This window comes from Homo sapiens, chromosome 6 (genome assembly GCF_000001405.40).
Source record: "Homo sapiens chromosome 6, GRCh38.p14 Primary Assembly".
Classification (NCBI taxonomy): Eukaryota; Metazoa; Chordata; class Mammalia; order Primates; family Hominidae; genus Homo; species Homo sapiens.
In genome coordinates, this window is record NC_000006.12 from 64,977,206 (window position 1) to 64,998,322 (window position 21,117).

Consider the following 21,117-nt stretch of genomic DNA (forward strand, 5'->3'; position numbering starts at 1 on the left):
TTTTTCTAACATGTGCATACTTCATTTCTCTGTGATACATTTTGTTAATTCTCACAATATTTCAAATGTTTTCATTATTATATGTGTTATGTTGATAAGTGATCAGTAATTTTTTATGTTACTATTGAAGTTACTTTGGGGCACTATTAATCACACCCATACAAGATGGCAAACTTAAATAATAAATGTTGTGTGCGTCTGACTACTTCAACAACTGGCTGTTCTCTAGCTCTCTCCCTCTGCTAAAGCTTCCCCATATCCTGAGACATAACAATATTAAAATGAGGCCAATTAATAACCCTACAATGACCTCTAAGTGATCAAGTGAAAGGAAGAGTTGCACATGTCTCACTTTAAATCAAAATCTAGAAATAACTAAGCCTAGTGTGGAAGGCATGTTGAAAGCCAAGAGAGGCTGAAAGCTAGGCCTTTTGCACCAAATAGTAAGCCAAGCTGTGAATGAAAAAAAAAAAAAAAAACTTGAAGAAAATTTAAATTGCCCCTCCAGTGAACATGCAAATTGTAGGAAAGAGAAAGAGAAACAGCCTTATTGCTGATAGAGTGAAAGTTTTAGTAATCTGGATAGAAGATCAAATAAGTCATGATAGTCCAGTTAGGCGAAACCCAATCTAGAGCAAGAACTTGACTCTCTTCAATTCTGTGAAGGCTGAGAGAGGTGTCAAAGCTGCAGAAGAAAGTCTGAAGCTAGGAGAGGTGGGTTCATGAGTTTTAAGGAAAAAGGCTATCTCTAAAACATAAAAGTACAAGGTGAAGCAGCAAGTGACAATAGAAGCAGCAAGTGACTGTAGAAGCTGCAGCATTATTCAGAAGATCTAGCTAAGATGATTGATGAAGGTGACTACACTAAACAACACATTTCCAGTGTAGGTAAAACAGCTTTCTGTCAGAAGAAGATGCTATGTAGGACTTTCACAGTTAGAGAGGAGATGTCAATGCCTGAATTCAAAGCTTCAGAGGACAAGCTGACACTCTGGTTAGGGGATGATGCAATTTGTGACTTGAAGTTGAAGCCAGTGTTCATTTACCATTCCCCAAATACTAAGGCCCTTAATAATTATGCTAGATCCAGTCTTCCTATGCTCTATAAATGGAAAAACAAAGCCTGGATAACAGCACATCTGTTTACAGCATGGCTTACTGAATACTTTAAGCCCACTCTTTAGACCTACTGACCAAAAAGAAAAGATTCGTTTCAAAATATTACTGTGCTTTGACAATATAGATGATCATGCAAGAATTCTGATGGGAGATGTACAAGGAGATTAATATTTTCATGCCTGCTAATACAACATCCATTCTGTAGCCCATGAATGAAAGAGTAATTTTGACTTTCAAGTCTTACTATTTAAGAAATACAATTCATAATGCTATAGCTGCTGTAGATAGTAATTTCTCTGATGGATCTGGGATAAATAAATAAAAATCCTTCTGGAAAAGATTCACAATTCTAGATGCCATTAAGAATATTCAGGATTTATGGACAGAGGTCAAAATATCCACATTAATAAGAGTTTGGAAGAAGTTTATTCCAATGTTCACAGAAGACTTTGAGGGATTCAATACTTCAGTGGAGGATGGAACTGCCAATGTGGTGGAAATAATGAGAACTAGAATTAGAAGTGGAGCTTGAACATGTGACTGGATTGCTGCCATATTGTGATCAAACTTGAATGAATGAGGAATTGTTTATTATGGATGAGCAAAGAAAGCGGTTTCTTGAAATGGAATCTACTTCTGGTGAAGATGCTATGACCATTGTTGAAATGACAAAATGGGATTTAGAATATTACATAAACAGTTGATAAAACAGTGGCAGGATTTCAGAAGATTTACTTCAACTTAAAACAAGTTTTACTGTGGATGAAATGCTATTAAACAGCAGCGCTATAAGATAAATCTTTTGTGAAAGCAAGAGTCAACTGATGCATTAGGAAACCAAAAACTGTATGACTCGCTTTATTGCTATATTCGCTTTATTGCAGTAGACTAGAATCAAAGCCACAATATCTCTGAGTTATGCCCGTATTTTAACAATTTTATGAAGTAACCAATGCGAACTTAAAACAAGATGAAAATAAATTTTTCCTACACAGAAATGAAACTATGTTAGTGTACTAGCTAATTAATTATATTATTAGTTAGTGGCATAAATCTCAAGATTATGAGAAACTTGATAGAACTGACCTAAGTAGAGCTAACTGCCCACCTCCCGTGGGAAAAAAAGAGGAATCATAATGGCTTTCCTGATTACATTTAATAGCATAATTCTGACTGGGAATTACACTTTGCACTACTTTTCTTTGTCTTTTTTGAGCAGAGCAGGACCTGTACTCTGGAAGCATCTGACTGGAATGAAGAATGAGGAGAGAAAGCAAAGATCAGTTGTTGACAGGTAGATTAATTTATAGCTGTAATGGAATAAGAAATGATAAGGGGAATAAGTAAAATAAATAACCCAAGAGAATCAAGATTTAAAAAGTCAAGCAAAACACTTATTGCTAACATATAATAAAGATAAAGGACTGTTAGTTATGCAAGAGAAGTGTTTAAGCAATATAGTCTCCTGAAAAATAAAGGATATTTTAAAAGATATACTATTGTATAGATTAATTAGCCAACATGATTAATATTTTTTAAAATTCCCACTAAGTTATTGTGAGTTGGACAAATTATTTTTAGTAGATGATAAAGTAAATAATATTTTCAACATTATTCTGGGATGTCACCACAATAAGTGATGCACAATCCTTGGAGACACTACCAAACTCTTTGTTCCAGGTGATGGTGTATAATAGAATCTCCTTCCAGTAAAATAAGTGACATCCTTTTAGTCCTCTATTGCTAAATTTTTTTAAAAGAAAAGGAAAGAAATACAGTAAGACTTTCTACTCTGAACTGGGCAATAATAAAAAATGTGCTGCAAGTTTTTTCTTTCCTTCTCTATAAAAAAAATGGCAATGCAAATTTTATTGTTATTTCAACATGCCACAATAATGTACAATCATTATGAAGAAATGATCTCAGTTTAAATGCTACTTCCCCCTTTAAGGCATTAAAATAGCACAGAAAAATTTCAGAGGAATCAAGTTAAATCTAGGTCATCAACAGAATATATGGCTGGTTTCATGAAATGGCCCCAATTTGTGATAAGATTGATCATATTTTAAATTAGTCTGTAGCCTCAAGATAATTCTCCAGAATGCCACAATAAATATATATGTCTTTATATGCTGTATATTTATTGTACATTAGTAAAACATGAATTATTAAATACATATTTCTATAAATAGCAGCTGCATTTATATTACAGCATGTCTGATATTAGCTAATATCATTGCTTTAATATAGCTGTATTAATACATATACTTTGTGTTCCTATCTCCTTCATATTGAAGAATGATGTAGGTTTATATGTTGTATATGCTTTGTTATGTTTTATGGTGAGACAATATAAGAATATCAAGGGAAAAATATGTTTAAAATCATTAGCAATGTCAAACTGAATGAGAGGACACATTCTAGTTTTATAAAACTAATGATTTCTCACCAGGCCTAAGACTTTAATAGTTGAGATGTGGTTTGTCATCTTCCATTTCATTTAAAAATACTTTGGAAATTGTCCATTTGAGTGAGTTAAGATAAAAAAAAACCTTTGAGGCTTAAAAATACCCTTAATTTAAAACTGGATATCTTAAAAGAGAATAAGACTTTTCAGGAAGGTACTGCTCTCATTTTAAAACAAAACAAAATAACAAAACTGAGGCCCAGATTTAAGTCGCTGTAATTCAATCATAAAATTCACTTAGAAAAGGTTTGATCAATAAATCAATAATTATAGAATTTGCCTAAGGTTATAAAGCCTCGGTGGATGAGCAATTCATTCCTATATCACATAATTATTAAGCATTGATTTTAATCCAGGCAATATACTGGGTTTTATAGATTCAAAGATAAATAATAAACATTCCTGGCTTTCAAGAACTGACATGAGAAAAAGAATACGTAAAGCTACTGAATTAGAATGCAAGGTAATAGAGAAACCCAAGAAAACCTAAAACTTAAGTCATATTTTGTCATATTGCTCTTTAAAGTCCTTAACTGACTTCCCTCTTTTTAGAGTAAAAATCAAAGTTTGTATGATAGCCTACCAGGTCTTTCATCAGCTGCCTCTATGCCTTCTTTCTGAACAAATTCACTTTTGTTCATGTTTTTTTCACTGGAGCCACCCTTCACCTCCATTTCCATTTCTTGACAGATCAAACATGCCCTTCTTACCTTCTTCTAACCACCTGGCAAAAATCATCATTTCTTCTCTTACTATACCCATATATTTTATCATATTGGTCAGGTAACCGAAGCATAGAAAGATGACATAATTTCCTCAAAATTATAGATCCTGTACATGGTTGAGCCATAATTTGCATACGGGAGTCTGGTTTCAGATCCAACATCTTAACTGCTTTATTTTAAACCATTTTGTTTTACTGCCTCACTAGTAGGGGAATCCAAAAAGAAAAGAAAATGCAGACCATTTTTAAATGGTTTCTCTCAAGAGGTTTCCTCCTTGGCTTTGGGTTAGAAGGGAATAATTGGATACAAAATGGAGGGAGAGGGGGTTGTAAGTGACAATATGGAAAACAGAGTTTGGCCAAGCTTAGAACTACTGCCAGATGTTACCAGTGGCTGTGTCTCCAAAGAATTAAAAACCAGTAATATGAAAGTACCTCACTGTAGGAAGGGTCCCCTTTTTAAACGAGGCAACTCTAGATTTCAATAAGACCAGGCCACAATAGTACTTGTAGCAAGAGAAATCAAGAGAAGAGAACCATGCCAGCATTAATATCTTTCCTTTCCCTCTACAGGATTGGCTTAATTAGTGGGTGTGGCAAATGTAAATATAATGATTCAGTAAGCACAATCAATGTTACACTATTCCCATTTTTAATTATGTATCTCTGCATGGTACCTTTTTCATGTTGGTCAGCCCATTAAATCAAATATTTAAACAAATTGAAGATAGCAACAAAGTTTTGAATTACTGTAGTAGAATTAATTCAAAGAAAAAAAGGGAAGACAAAGCAAGTTTAATTATAGTGTATTCGTGAATCAATTATAATAACTTAAATATGCCAACACTTTAGATTACTAATAATGCAACATTAAGAATCATTTATTTACTGTGTTGCTTTTTATTCTACATTTTATGTGTATGTTTATAATTTAATAACTTCTATTAGTAGGATCTGTCATGCACATAATTTATAAATTACATGTATTTTGGAAATATATGAACAAAACCTTGTATTGAAAGGAGATCAAAATCAAAGAAGTTTGAAAAGTGTTGGCAGAAGGCTGACTAAATAGGGACATAGAATCAATTGTAATTGAGTCCTAATAGAGACACATTCAATCTATATAGATATATATGACTTTGAAAATGATTTTGAGTGCTTTTAAAACACTTAATTGTATTATAATTTAATAATTTAAAGTAGTTATCTCCTATTTGAGTTGATAGATATCAGAAAATATTAAAGATTTTGTTTATAATTTAAACAAAAACTGATTTTGTTGATTGTATTTATGCTTAACCTTAATAAAGTGGCAACTTCTGAGTGAAACCCAAAATACAGTTCTAAAATAATATTTTTGTATATGATTTGTACAGAATCGTTACCCTTCAGCTGTCCAGTAACAACATTTAAATCTATACAAGAAATCTTTGAAAATAAAATCCTTATGATGCTTGTCAGTGCCTGAGAAATGGATGTCAAGCATAAATCTATTAAATAAATAGATATCATGGATTAAACGGTTCTTATTTTATAACATTATGAATTTCATGTCGGTTTTATTTTTCCTCCACACTGATATTCTCGATTTTAAAAAGATAAAGCGTTCATATTACGCATCATCTTTTGATTTACTCATAGAGTACCACTGAATAGGAATTAGCTTTGAAAGAGGTCATCTATGGGCAAAATGTCAACAGGATTGCTACACTGCCTAGACAGAATAATGTACAATATGAAGTAAGTGATTTAATTAACTGAAACTGTCTCAGTAGAGTGCACTTCTTATCTAGTGAAGACATAAAAAAGATAGATAACTGCATTATGTCAATTAATCTACTCATATTTCAGGGTGAATATAAGAAATGCGGGAGCATATGAGCTATTTGTGTCAGGATAAATAGATAATAAATATATATAGCTTCACTCAATTGAGTCAATACAACCAGTTTTCCCCCCACACAAAACTTATACTTTTGATGTTTCCACTCATAAACAATGATGCTTCCAACATAATATTTTTAAAAACTCTTATTACAATTTTTAAAATCATTATTTAAAGATATTTGGATACTATTATAAAGCCCATTTAAGGATTTCTCCTACTTTTTACTTCTGTTGTACTAGTATGTGTTAATGGGGTTACTATGAAGTGGATATGCTGATTTAACAACAGGTGCTGAACATTTTCTTGATGAACATTTTCTAGGTAATTTTTTTTTTCTGCTAAGTTTTAAGACTCAATTTTGTGGTTATTTCTCCCTGTTTTAAACATGGTGAGATAATCTCCTGTACGCTAGTCCTTAAACAGAAAAGTCATAAAACCATGAGTCTAAAGAAGACCAGTCTTTGGCACAAGTTTACATGACTTTGTAGCATTTAACCACCAAGCTCTTAAACACCTGGCATAGAGCATCTTTATTTAGCAAAGTGAGGAAGCAGAAAAGTAGAGCGCTGTCTAAAGTAGGCAGAGACTACTCAACTCCAGGAATCCTGTTTGTATTAGAATCCCGTCTGGAATTACGAGATCTGATTATTCAAAAGAAAATGAAAATCCTGATTCTTATATGATGAAATGTGTCCATTATTAAATTTTGAAAAATGATTCAAACTTAAAACATTGTAGACCAACTAATGAAAGGCAAACTGGACTTCTGAGGTCAGATATAGTCTCTGGGCCCTCCAGATAAACTACCCTTGACATCTCCCTTCCAATCATGTAGAAGCAGAGATGACCCCATTACAGACTGATTCTCCCATTGGATGGCTTTTCTTCTAAAGGAGCAGAGAGGTTACCAAACTATCAACTGAAAACTAAAAGACATATGATAATATTTTCCACACCATTTTTGTGAAGAAGGATATACTGATGATGACTGTCTTGGTAGTAAGATTTGAAATTACTTTTTAAAAAATTTTAATTGTATTTGTCCATATCTTTTTAAACTGCCTACAAAAGAACATGTATTAGTTTTTCACTCAGATTTTTAAATGTTATTAAATAATTATGTAAAAATTAAAAAAGGAAGTTCAATGCTCTGTAATCAATTTTCGTGTACAAGAAAAACAAGGCAGTGGCATCATTTGAAAATAAGAAAGAATTAGCTAGCTATACATTATTGATAGACGAGACTATTTTAAATTGTAAATTTATTTATGATGGGTTTGTAATATGTCCTACCCAATAAAGACAACTGAACTCCCTCTGCCTTACAGTGCAGCCAGGGACATATCTTCTTAGTGAACTTATTTCTGTGATACGATCCAGGTTTTATTCTTATCCATCCCTCCAGCAGCCTTACTGTAGCAAAATCAGTTTCTTGTAACAGAAATAAAAGTTTCTTTCTTAGCTTCCGGAAATTATTGACTTTCAAGAATTTTTGAGATTCTGCCTCCCTTTAACAAAGTACAAATAAACCTCTTTTTAACATTCAGACAATCTAAAAACTTGCTGAAAATCAGACAATGAATACCTATTGGAGCCTCCCTTGACATATATTAATTTTCTGGTACAATCTTTTGTAAATATTTAATAATTAGCTCCTGTTTTATGAATATGCAGATGTAGGACAAGCCTTATATGAATAGGTCCTGGTTGTAGCAATTGAACTGATGCAATCACATGTCATCCCTGAAAACAAAAGCAGATGCCACTGAAGACCATCCTTGTCAAAATATTTCCACAAGCCTGCGAAAGGTCTTAACCTATACAAATGTTATGACTTTGCTTAGGGCTGTAATTTCTTCTTTTTGAACTCAAGTAACAAAAAGAGGATTTGTCAGTTGAATGAATAAGAAGAAGTAGCAAATTATTTGGGGATCTGACTAATTAAGCCTATCAGGAAGTACCTCAGGCAGTGTCATTATTTGTTTAGCTAAATTGTCAGTCTAGACAATGAGGGAGTAATGCCTTATTTTATTTTTCCTCCTCTATGATATTTTGCTCAACTGCATATTCTAAGCTGCTCTAGAAGAATTCACTTAGAACAATTCTATCTTCTTTTATTGAAATTAAGTCAAACTCTAAGTGAGGTCTAAAAATAAATTTAAAAAACCTTTTTTACAAAAAGATAAGAATAACAGTCATATAGTGACTGAAAAAATAAATTTCTTTAAAATAAAGTCTGATTTAATTAGGGTTGTTAGACAAACTATTGGACACAATATGAGTTTCAGAGAAAAACTGATTCTTTTACTATAAATATGTCCCATGCAATATTTGGACATCTGTATTTTTGTTTGCTGAATCTGGCAATCTTAGACTGAATTTATGTTCCGGAGAAAGTGTAGAGTAAGTATGTTTAAAAGAGGGTTCAGAAGATTTGTATAAAAACTAACTGTGGAAGTCGGCCTCAGCTCTTTAGATATATGCCTGTTCTGCCACAACTGTCCAGCAGTCTGCTCTACTCAGCTGCTTCTACTTATCACGTTTTCCAGAATCCAGCTACGTTCTGTCACAGCTCTCCATACTCATATCTCAATGTTTACTGAGACCAAGTTTTGATTTATCATTATCATATGGAAGAATCTATATCAGATAACTTTTTTAAACTTGTTTATTCTATTTCTCAATATTCAAGCAAATAAAGGGTTTTGCAAGCCTATATTCCCATCCACAAAGGAATTGAGGTATACCTTAATTTCCATTATAAGAAAAGAATAACGATTAAAAAAGAATATAGAAAAAAAGAAAAACTTTTATCAGAAGGTGCCAGGCTTATTATTCAAAGAAATCTTGTTTCATTTCCTTTGCTACATCTATCTTTTTTCTATAATTTTCATCTAATGTAGCAAATAAAATATACACATATGTAAATAACACATACAAATTCCTATGTCAATTTATTGTATAAATATCACTCACAGAAAGGTGAATGAAAAGGCAGTACAAAATAAATTCACTTTATTTCACAATTTTAACTTGACTGCCTTGAATTATTGGAAGATCCTTTAAGATGTATACTGTAAAGGCAGTCCTATGCAATTTTTTTTTTTCTAATACTTCATGGTGTTTCCTGCAATGTTTCCCAGATATCTACACAAAAATTATAATAATACTTACTATGGTTTGTTTTTACTTTTTGTTTCTATGTATTAGGTTCTTCATTCATCCAATTGTCTCCTCTTAGAAACAATTATAAGGGCCAAATTACAGTTAGACTAATACACAGTAAAGTTAAAATGTTTTGCACATTATATTTCTTCACCATTTCATACTATTAATTTTAAATTTTAGTTAAAATTGATGTATTTTAGAAATGTTTTTAGTTTGTCTCAGAATATATATATATATATAACTCAGACCAAAAATTCTAGTGTAGTTGTTCTGTCTATTCCATTTATTATATTTAAGCCTAAAGAAAAACCTTGGTGGCAAATGACAGAAATCTGTTGATTAAGCTCATTGAATTGGCAAACCTTAAGAAGAGAGTACTCTCTTTTTCCATTAGAACATCACCTTTCTGATGGTAAAAGTGCAGTAATTGATACTGTTTGGGAGAAGTGACTAGAGGTCTATATCCTTAGGAAAAGATTTCAAAAGCTTTGGATTCTGTTATGTTTTATTATCAATATATTTAGAATTCTAGTTCTAAATTCCCTTCAACTCCAGTTATTCTGGCGACAAGCAGCTTTTACTTGTATTTCAATCTCTGTGGCTAAGTCCTATCACCTGTTAGCAGATGATTTCCGGAATCATCAGGTTCTTGCTACACCTCTCAGTGCAAGCTTCCATGCAGATAAGCATTGGCTGGGTGCAGAATGCTGCGTATAAAATGCTTAGAAACATAAATCACTGTGGCTATGCACAGTCCAATACTTATGCACTATGGCTCTGCAACTGAATTCTCTGTGGGGGATATTAAAAACACAGAGTCTCAACCTCACCTTCTATTCACTAAATCAGAATCCCCAAAGCGGGAATACCAAATATGCATGCAGTTTATAACTGGCACAGGTGATTCTGGTGTATTGTAGAGACTCTGAAATACTGATTTGCTCTTGGAATCCTTGTCCTTCCTTGTTTTGTGAGTCCTGTGGGCAGCTGAACTCAAGGTCTGATACTTTCAGAGGTACAGCATATGTAGGACAGAAAGGGAATCTTGGGGGAGGCATGACTTGTGCTGTATATTCCCCGTGTCTCCTTGTGAAACTTGCTTCACTTCTATGAACATTACATTTTTCTCTGTGAAATATACCTTCTATGATATACCAGTGAACTATAAAAGACATCCTGGAAAGACACACCTCAGAACAAAGTGGGATTTATATTTTCTGAAAAGCAAACTAGTCCTTGATTGTATATAGTAATAAGAATTTAAAAAAGCATAGAATTGGTAATAACACTCTAAACCCACATGTATGTGTAAATTCATTTTCATATTTAATACACTTGTGTTTAATATAGTGTTATATTTAATATACTTATTGTATTAAATATATTATGTTTAACATGATATTTAATATACTCATCCACATTTATATCCACACCAATCCCATTGGTCTCTTTTGAGTTTTTGTTTCAGGCTTTTTTAAGAATGTAGGGCAAAGTTTTGGTCTTGGTCTTTTAAGCACAGCAGCTACAGGAAGGGAGATTTTCTTGCTCTGAGAGGGCAAAAAAAAAAGACCAGCAACTTAAACCAGGGGAACTGACCTAAAAGGCTGTGCCACTGATAAGATTCACTTGGACTTAGCCAGATTAGAGGCTTGATACCTGGAGAGAGAGAGATCAGGCTGAGGTGTTTTGCTTTGTGTCTATCAGATGCAGAGCATTTCAGCAGAAATGCAGCAATCTCACAGCAAGCCTTAAAAGGTGGCCCAAGAGCCTCAGCATCCGATGATATCATGTCAAACAAATGCTATCATGTCAAACAAATGCTATCAGCATCTGGGAAATCTCTGGAATCTGGGCATGAGTATAGACTCTGTGAGTTTCTTACTCTATGAAAAAATCTAAAAAAAGTTAAAAGACGTACAGGTAAACACCTGACCATTCATTTCTTCTTTCCTTCCTTTCTTTCTCTCTTCCTCCTTCCCTCCTTCTCTCCCTCTTTCTCTCTCTGTCTCTCACTCAGCAATCTGCAATGTTTCAGGCATTGTCATAACTCAGCCTTGAGGATATAATAATTTTAAAAAATATTATAGAGCATAACCTCATCCTCAAAGAATTGACATTAGTGGTTAAAGTAAATAATTAAACCCTGACAAAATATTGTTAAGAGTTAGCAGTCTTCATAATAGGTATTTTATTTTGTACTTTCTTCAAAGTTTTCATGTAAAAATATAAGCTTATATATTATTTGATATGAAAATATATTAATATCAAAACACATGATCAGTGAAGAAATTATTTTTAACACAAAAGTGACTGAATTACAGCTCACTTCCATACACTTGAATAAAATACCCTGGCTTGGCAAATCAGTGTAAGAGCTTTAGTTCAACTCAGAGAAACACTAGGTGCACCATAGTTAAATCATTATAATCATAATAAAACATGGTATATATCTATTAATGCCTTGTATGGGACAGGCATTATGTTATAGATTCAACATAAAGTAAAATACATGAAGCATTTTACATTTAATTTGTGTAACAATTCCACAGAGTACCTGCTATGAATATGTTTATTATTAAAATTAACTGACTGAGGCTTAGAAACGTTAAATGACTTGTTCAAGGTAACACAGCTGGTGAGGCCAAAGCTATTTATCCCAAAGGCCCTCTTCTCTTCTATAAGCAGACTTTTGGTTTTAAAGAGCACACTACAAAATTTAACCCTACTGTAGTCAAGATGATGCCATAGATCATTCTCTATCAGTTCAAATCAAGGTTCTTCATCAATTTACAGGAAGAGGCTATTTACTGGCTAGCTGTAATATATATATATATATATATATGAATATATATGAGAAACAGGAAGAGGCTATTTACTGGCTAGCTGTAATATATATATATATATATATATATAAGAATATATATGAGAAACATGTAATACATAAAATTATAATATATATTATGTTATAATATATCATATATTTTATATTTAAGAACTATGTAATGTATAAAAATTATATTATTTAATTTAAATTAAATAAATATAAATTAAATATAAATTAAATACATAATTATAAAAATTATATTATTTATTTTTATACATTAAATTTTATATCTTACATATTTCTTATGTATAAATTATAATATAATTTTATATTATATATAATTGTATACATTATATATTTCTTATAAATATAAAAATATATAACATAGAATATATATTCATACACACACACACACACACACACACACACACACACTCACACACACTATAACCAAGACAGGTTTATTGTAGGAAGTAGCTGGTTTCAGCTCAAGAGCTTGATTTTAGAAAGGTGTTAAGCTCTATTTATCGTAGGATGGTTGGCAGAAGACTAAAGAACAGAGATACACATATTCTCTATTTGTGTAGGTACACACAAATGTACAGGCATACTTGCACATGTGCTTGTTTACACATGTATCTATCAACTCCCAAATCCTAAATTTCCTATTTATTTTTTACTTTTAATAAACTACCTACAGACAAATGAGGTGGTTAGAAATAAACAGGGACTTAGAACACAATGGAGTTATTTACTGAGGCTATTAAGTTAATAAATTGCTAAAATCAATCTGTTCTGAAAGAAAGTGTGATTTTATTTCTCTATGAACCCCTTAAATGCATGATATGAACACAGTGTACACAACACAGCGGTTTTTAGAACCAATTTTTATATGGTCAACTAATTAAAAATGGTATCTAAATGGCATATAAAATGTTTTCTAGGAAAAAAAGTGGAATTCCTGTAGAATGTAACTATTGATTGATTTCTCAGAAATAAATTGTGAAGCTCAGAGATGAGTCCCATTTATAGTTATGTAAATATCACAAATAATAACGGTAAAGTGCAGTGTTTGTTTTGAAATCAGCTTAATTTGTCTCATAATTCTTTCAAAATAAATTCATTTCTTTATGCACTTTGGCTAATATTGGAAATGGAAATAGTATTCAATCAGTTCTAAATCATTTTTTAAGCTAGATAATTTCTGGAAAGTGCTGACTTTTGTTAGAAAATCTGAAAATGGAAAATTCCTCTCAGTGATCTGCTATGTCTTCACATATTATTTATGAAGTTAATACTGCTTCATGGATTTCTTAAATCTCAAAATTCAGCCATCTGTAAACCTCTCTTCTCTGTAATGAATCTTGGAATAAGAAAGAAGAGAAAATATGTTTTAGCTTCCAGAGGAGATTTCTGAAGTCCAAAGCATTAAAGCTCACATACTTGTTTACTCAGGTGAATCAACAAGTCTTTTTCTCAGGTTCTGTTTGCTTTTATTTTGCATGTAATCCTGATAAATTTAATCAGTTTCAGAGCCATCATAGGTTCAAAACAATAGTTTAAAAGGGAAGAAATAAGGTTGCTTCAGATAGGCATAGTAACTATGATTAAAACTGACAATTGAGGGGGAACATATTAAGATAATTATACAGGTCATCAGATGAGGGAATTTAAGTTCTATTTTAGTCTTACATCATACAGGGAAAAGAATTCCATAATCTAGTTTATTGTAGAAATGACAGAAAGCTGACCTCTATCATAGTTAACCATAGTTATAAATGTAACATTAAATTATGTTCAATAAATTCTTAAAGGGAAGATTGGTATAATAAAAAGTAGAGATCTGAGTAATACATTGTAGGCAGATTTTATTCTATATAAACATAGCAGGCTGTTTAAAATGGGCATGACCAAAAAACTTTATTTTGTGTTACCTAGTCACTGCAGTGCCTCTTTTAACAATAGGTTTTGAAGTTAGCTAATACATCAAGGTTTAGTTCAAGTTTTGGCTACATAATAACTACTGATGATGTTGCAGCAAGAGATTTAATAACAGATTTAAGTGAACCTTTTGGATATCATAATAATCAATCAGTCATTGATTATTTTTAATATGCTCATAATGATTTCAAACATTATATCCAGCCTCTAAGAGAAGCTATAATTTCATGTATGGATTTTCTGATTAGTAAATGCCAATACATAGGGAGACTAACACTTCACTAATTTATTACAATAGTGTGGAGAAAACCATATATTATTATCTCTCCCACAAAAGAATTGGAATAGAATAAATAGACTTTATTCTGCTTGTCTTAAAGACAAAAACATTAAAACCGAAGGAGGAATCCACAAGAAAATAGTACTTAATGAAGGAAAGATGCTATGAAATATGCTGTTAAAAACAGAGAGGATGAATCAGTTTTATCATTTTCCAAATTTTTCAGATCATCCATTATTTCCTCTTTAAGGTACTAAATAAATTGTGAATTATCAATACACATGAAATAGAAATCTCTGTGCTTTACTCAGAATATCACAGGAATTTAGAGCTAGAGAGTGCTATCTAGATAACTAGTTCAATGATTTTCAAATAGAAGTACACATCAAAATCACAAGGCGTTATAAATTATCTAAATGCCTGGACCCATCATCTGAATCAGAATTTTAAGCACGTGTCTTTTCAAAAGCAACTCCCTATTTTAGAACAATTGAGTCCAGCTCCTACATTTTATGGAAGAAACTGATAAACAAATTAAAATGTCTAATAATAGGTATTTGCTTATGCATATTTTGACACTAAAATAAAAAGGTATATAGTCTTTAATGTAATAAAATAAATTGGTATATAGTAAACTTGTATGAATACTATAAGAAGTTTTCATTTCGTTTTATGATTCTAATAAATTGGCTAGTTGTGAATCATAGAACAAATTCATGTCAAAGCTAGACAATCTTCAAATGCTGTCTCTGCTCTTTTAAGTTCTCTAAGCTTACAAGTTGTTTAATCTAATAAAAATAAAAAAAGTTAAGAAAATATTTATTCTTAGAAGTTTAACATTTTAGACTAAATTCCATAGAAACCATTACTTAAAAGCAATATTAATATAAAATATATCCATTTAAAGGCTATATATAAGAGCTAAGATATTTCAGGATGGATTAATTTTGTCACACTCCAAAGTATCTGAGAAATTAATGAGAACTAAATGTGCTTTTGTCTCTCTTTTTGCTACAAAAATTGAATTTTTCCTTTCTTTAGGCATATTCAGATGGCTGTTTGTGTTTTGAGAATTCTGGAACTCCGGAGCTCTGATATGAGTCAGATTCTCTGTGTTAATTTCCAACAAATGTGATTAAGCAAATCTTTATAGAGAAGGAGGATATGAAAGAAATGAAGGCTTTAGTATTTGGACAGAGAGCAGTTGGATTGATTCCGCACTGATGGGGAGTTTGTATTCCTGGAGAAAGAAGAGAACCTAGAGGTTTTTGTGGTTCCAACTTGGTATACTGAAGGGACAACTGGGACCTGACCACTGATTAGCTAAGCATCATGCCCTTGAAGGCAAGGGTACAGAGAAGGTCCTGGGAGCCACATTTGGTATGCAAGGATTGAAACCATTTCACAGATTAACATATTTTTGAAAGGAGCATGGAGATACCATATAGGCATTTTATTAGGAGCCAAGATGAACTGTATAGCAAAGGCTGTTCCCCATTAATTCTGGATTGATCCACCTCCAGTGTTTACTCAAATCCCAAGGGAAGGAAATAAGCGACTCTCAAATAATTGACATGTACCACATTTTCTTAATCCAGTCTATCATTGTTGGACATTTGGGTTGGTTCCAAGTCTTTGCTATTGTGAATAGTGCCACAATAAACATACGTGTGCATGTGTCTTTATAGCAGCATGATTTATAATCCTCTGGGTATATACCCAGTAATGGGATGGCTGGGTCAAATGGTATATATACACCATGGACTACTACGCAGCCATAAAAAATGATGAGTTCACGTCCTTTGTAGGAACATGGATGAAGCTCGAAACCATCATTCTCAGCAAACTACCGCAAGGACAAAAAATCAAACCTGCATGTTCTCACTCATAGGTGGGAATTGAACAATGAGAACACATGGACACAGGAAGGGGAACATCACACACTGGGGTCTCTTGTGGGGTGGGGGGAGGGGGGAGGGATAGCATTAGGAGATATACCTAATGTTAAATGACGAGTTAATGGGTGCAGCACACCAACATGGCACATGTATACATATGTAACTAACCTGCACGTTGTGCACATGTACCCTAAAACTTAAAGTATAATTAAAAAAAAACCAAAATAATGAAAAAAAAATTGACATGGATTTTCAACCATATGGTGGATGAAAGTAAAGGTAGTTTTTTTTTTTTTAGAAGACATATAAATTCAGTTTGTTTTTGCATCTGAATGTTTGGGGGAAAAGTTAAACCTGTAGTATACGTGTGTGTGTGTGTGATGTGTGTGATATTTATATATATATATTTATATATTGCAGAGTTGTTCCTTCCACATTAGTTCTACTGCACTATTTTTGTTTCCCCTGCTGTTATCAAAAATAAGCATTCATTATTCATGTAAGATAAAGAGGAAAACGAAACTAAAATGAGAGGGGAAATACTAGATTAATTTGATCATACATATTTAAATAACCACAAGAAATAGTTATTCTCAAATATACATAACAAAGTTACACTAGGGAATAGATCTTACTATACACATTCTTAACATTTGTATTTTATTATATGCTAGACTTTCAAAAGATTATTTTTTCCTCCTATTGTTTTCTTAGATTTACTGAACCATAAAGAAAGGAAAAGAAGAAAACTGGCTCATTGTTACAAATCACTTCCTACTGTGGATTTGAAGTCTTCTTATTTTCTGCTTTTCATCTAAATTCAGCATCATGATGCTGCAATACAATCAAAAGAAAATGCTGTAAATATAAAAATGTTAATTTAAAGCTATACACATACCAGGTTCAAAGAAGATGCAAGCCACATGTCAGTGGGATTGCCTGGGTTCATCTGGACAGTCCAGCTCATACAACAAGCAGGCCGGTGACTCTTTAGGCAAATGCGAATGTTTTATAGATTAAATAAATCATCTTTCTGTTTTTTTAAGGTTATTAAATATTCTGCAGAAAAATCCAACTCTGTGCCTTTCTAATTTTCTCTTCCACTTCAAATCCTTCACATTTTATGTTTTTTCTTTTACCAATGAGTTAGTAAAAGCAAGTAAATATAAAACTCAAAAAATTATGTATTATGTCTAATCCAGGCTTTATTTTAAAAATATGAATTTTGGCTCTTTTTATATGACTTAGTATCTTTGTACTATTTTTGTTTTATTATTATAGAATGCATTGTTTTCCAATAGTATACTATTTATTCATACACAAAAAGGCAATATTTAACAAGACATTTGAGCAAGAAAGCATTAACTCAAAATTCAGGGCTCAAGCCTACATATATTCCATCGGAAGGACCGGCCCTTTACTGGCTCCTGGGAGATAACCTCTGAATTTGGAATATCCTGACAGATAATAATGTCTTTGATACCTGAGACCTCGAGCTGTGCCAAATAGTTTATGCTAATTAGATGTGATTTATGCTTGCAACCCTTTTTTTGTATGCCTAGGGCTTTGGGGCATGCTGCATCAGCTTGGCCCCTGCAGGAGCTGGAGACTGATTAGCTAAGGTCAGTTATGCAGGTGCTTCATGTCATCATGACTGACCTACAGTGAAAACCATAGACAACAAGGCTTATGTGAGCTTCCTTGGTTGGTTACACTTTATATATGTTGCCCTACATTGTTTCTGAGAAAGTATTTTAAGTACTTTTCATGCAACTCCAATGGGAGAATACACCTGGAAGACTGTACCTGCTTTATCTTAGACTTTATCTTATGTGTCTTTCCCTTTGCTAATTTTAATCTGTAACTTTTATAGTAATAAATCCTAGCAAAAAGTAAAACAGTTTTTCTGAGTTCTTCTTATACATTATCAAACCTGAGGGTAGTCTTTAGGCCCCAGACACAATATCTGAAAGCTATGAAATGCTTTGAGCTTTAATATTTTAAGCAATTTGTGGTCTCCATAACACCATTTCTTGGAAGGATATCACCAGTATGATGACATTTCTGTTCTTGAAGTTGATATATGACTTACAGTTAGGAGTTAGATAATTTCAATAGTCTCCTTATGTTAAAATATATTTAAACCAGTTAATAAGATGAGAACTTTATCTCTTCTTCAACTTTGCTTCTTTCTGCTTCCCCCCCGCCCCATATTCTTATTATCACAATTTCTGGAAACAGGAGTCAAGATTTTAAACTATACTACAGTTAGTTGGAATAGCTTCTTAGTGGCAATTCATAAAATAGATAAATGAGACAAGAATATCCTTGGAAGTTCTGTTATTTGGTATAAGGCAAGATGTAAAGTTGTACTCCTTGACTTGTCAAATGACTGGCTTAATGTCCCACAGAATATCTGTGGCAGTGTCAGGTCTGAAAGTGGAATCTTATATTACAGGTATGGGGTTCTTTCTTCTGTAATAAACTCAGATTATTCCTGAAGTTACTGCCAAAATCACAACCTAAAATAAAGCGTAATTACATTATGGATGTGTACATTAGATGATTTACCTGCAAGTAAAAGGAACTCTGACTTCAGTAATATTAAACAAGAGGCCATAAGGATCAAATATATTAGGTCCAGAGGTTGGGCAGGCAACCTGAGAGGTTCAGTCAAGAGTTCAACAGTTGACCACAGGCCAGATTTCTTTTATCTCTAATCTCTGCTGTTTTCAGGACACTCACTAATAATAGACTAATAGTTTATTATATTATTATTTAAGTAGTTAATAGTGATAGTCTAATCAACTATACCCCCCCATCTTGCTTTAGGGCCTCAAAATGGTAACAGCAACTACATAAATCCAGATGTTAGAAGGTATAGGAGAGGTCACGCATACTTTTCCTCACATTCTAAGAGCAGGCGACGAAATCTTTCCTCAGAAAGAATGCCTCCCTTGCCTCAGAGACCAGCATAGTGTCACATGTCCACTTCTAAAGGAATCCCCAAGAGTGGGATGTGATTAACATGACTGCCTTAGATAAAGCATGAGACATGGACCAAGACAAAGCAACCAGACAACCACAAATACTTGAAAAGTGGCTAGACAACCTCTGGAGTAACTCTGTTTCTGGTCATGGATATGTAAATGCGAGTTACAGTTATTCCATTAGGTATCTGCAGTCCTTGTGGGAAAAAACAGTTTGCCACAAATGTTCCTTCTATTGTAAAAACAATGTCAGTGCACTGACAGTCAAAATATGTGGTGGCTGAAACCATATTTTGGCTTTTCAAAGGTTTGCTTTTAAAGCTTTGTTTTCTAACTTCAACAAGTATAGTCTTCTTGCAAATATCAGTTCTGTTGTTAAGTAACAAACTATAAGCCTGGATTAGTATTGTAGCCCTGACTTGTGTTGTATGTTGCTTATTTTCTGAAGCCAGTCAGTGAGTGAGTCCACCTTGAGTAGGTGTTTTTATGTCAGGCTTTGTGAGAAATGAGGAGCCGGAGGGGATCCCAAATCAATTGCCAACCATGTCACAGATCATTTAAGGCAGAATGGAACATGCTTGTGACAAAGGTGATGACAAATGAATATGTACTGAAGGGACAACACCAACAGATGAGTGAAGGAAACTGGAAATATGTAATATGAGATGGAGGTCAGAGTGAAATGTAAGATAATGATAATGAAATACATGTGTGAATGTAATACCATGAGTTAGATAAAAATAGGTGGCCGTTAAGACTCACACAGTGCCTTTCAGAATAAATTCTGAAATTTTACACAAATTCAATATTGCCACAAGTTGTGAATCCAATAAGTGAACAGTTTGTTATATAATATTTAAACCAACCTGTATAGAGTGGAGAATAGAACATGTTTTACTACCTTTAAGTTAAAAAAAAAAAGTTGCTTGAGTTTCTGTTTTCTAACCTTGAGAAGTAAGCATATGTAATATATATACTAACCTAACACACAGGCAAAAACTCACTCTATTTGTACATAGGTGTTAAATTATATTAGTCCACATTTAGGTATATAAAAAGCCAGTGGATACTAACGAGATGCAGGTCTTTGCAGGTAGAATTGTGCTCACAGGCATTCAGGATGCAGTCATCAATGTCCTGTTCACATCTTATCCCAACATAGCCTGGATTGCATAAGCAGGAAAAGCCATCAACCACTGGAAACAACAGAAAAGAGAAAACTCTTAACATTCCTTTAACCTTAGTACAGGTAATTATAATTAGTCTAAAATTCTATAATCATTTATGTAGTTCACTTTTAACCAAATAAAGTAAGAATTATTATATTTAATCGATTACATAGTCATCTACAATATTTTCTAAATAACCATCTTATTCAGTTCTATTTAACTTAAAAAAAAAACTTCAGTTAGTTGAAATAAGAACAATTACTATGGACATTTGGTAATAGTTTGCAAAGCAACAATGAAAATATCCAATTTTACTTGCTCTCTCTTGTTTTTGGCAGTACACAATATATATGATAAATAGGTTACTCTTGTATCATTTAATTTTCCCAAGTTGTTTTAGGTTTAATAAACAAGACCTTAACTGTTCAGTTGTTAAAGTTCTATGTATGACAGAATATATTAAAGTGCATTGTGATCTCAAAGTTGATAATGAGCTACTTAAGCCTTAGTTAAAAAGAGCTTTCACGTTTCATCAAAATCTTTGTAAAATAATGATCACAATTTGTTCTTCATTTTACCATTAATGATGAAAAAGAATGGTGTCTGAAGCATCTCAAGGAAGTAGTGACAGTATGAATTGCAGTTG

General features: G+C 32.6%; 1 protein-coding gene and 1 long non-coding RNA gene across 3 annotated transcripts in view; one reads left to right on the plus strand and one right to left on the minus strand.

Moving 5' to 3' along the window:
• EYS (eyes shut homolog) overlaps positions 1-21,117 on the minus strand; it is a 1,987,247-nt gene that overhangs the window by 1,257,226 nt on the left and 708,904 nt on the right. For both annotated transcript variants that reach the window (NM_001142800.2, NM_001292009.2), the window contains exon 14: positions 20,377-20,498. In NM_001142800.2, the coding sequence (NP_001136272.1) occupies positions 20,377-20,498 (122 nt within the window). The remainder of the gene's footprint in view (positions 1-20,376; positions 20,499-21,117) is intronic.
• LOC105377837 (uncharacterized) lies at positions 1,855-17,243 on the plus strand. Its single transcript, XR_942650.2, has 3 exons — positions 1,855-1,965; positions 2,339-2,413; positions 17,027-17,243. It is a non-coding gene; the product is annotated as an uncharacterized LOC105377837 (long non-coding RNA).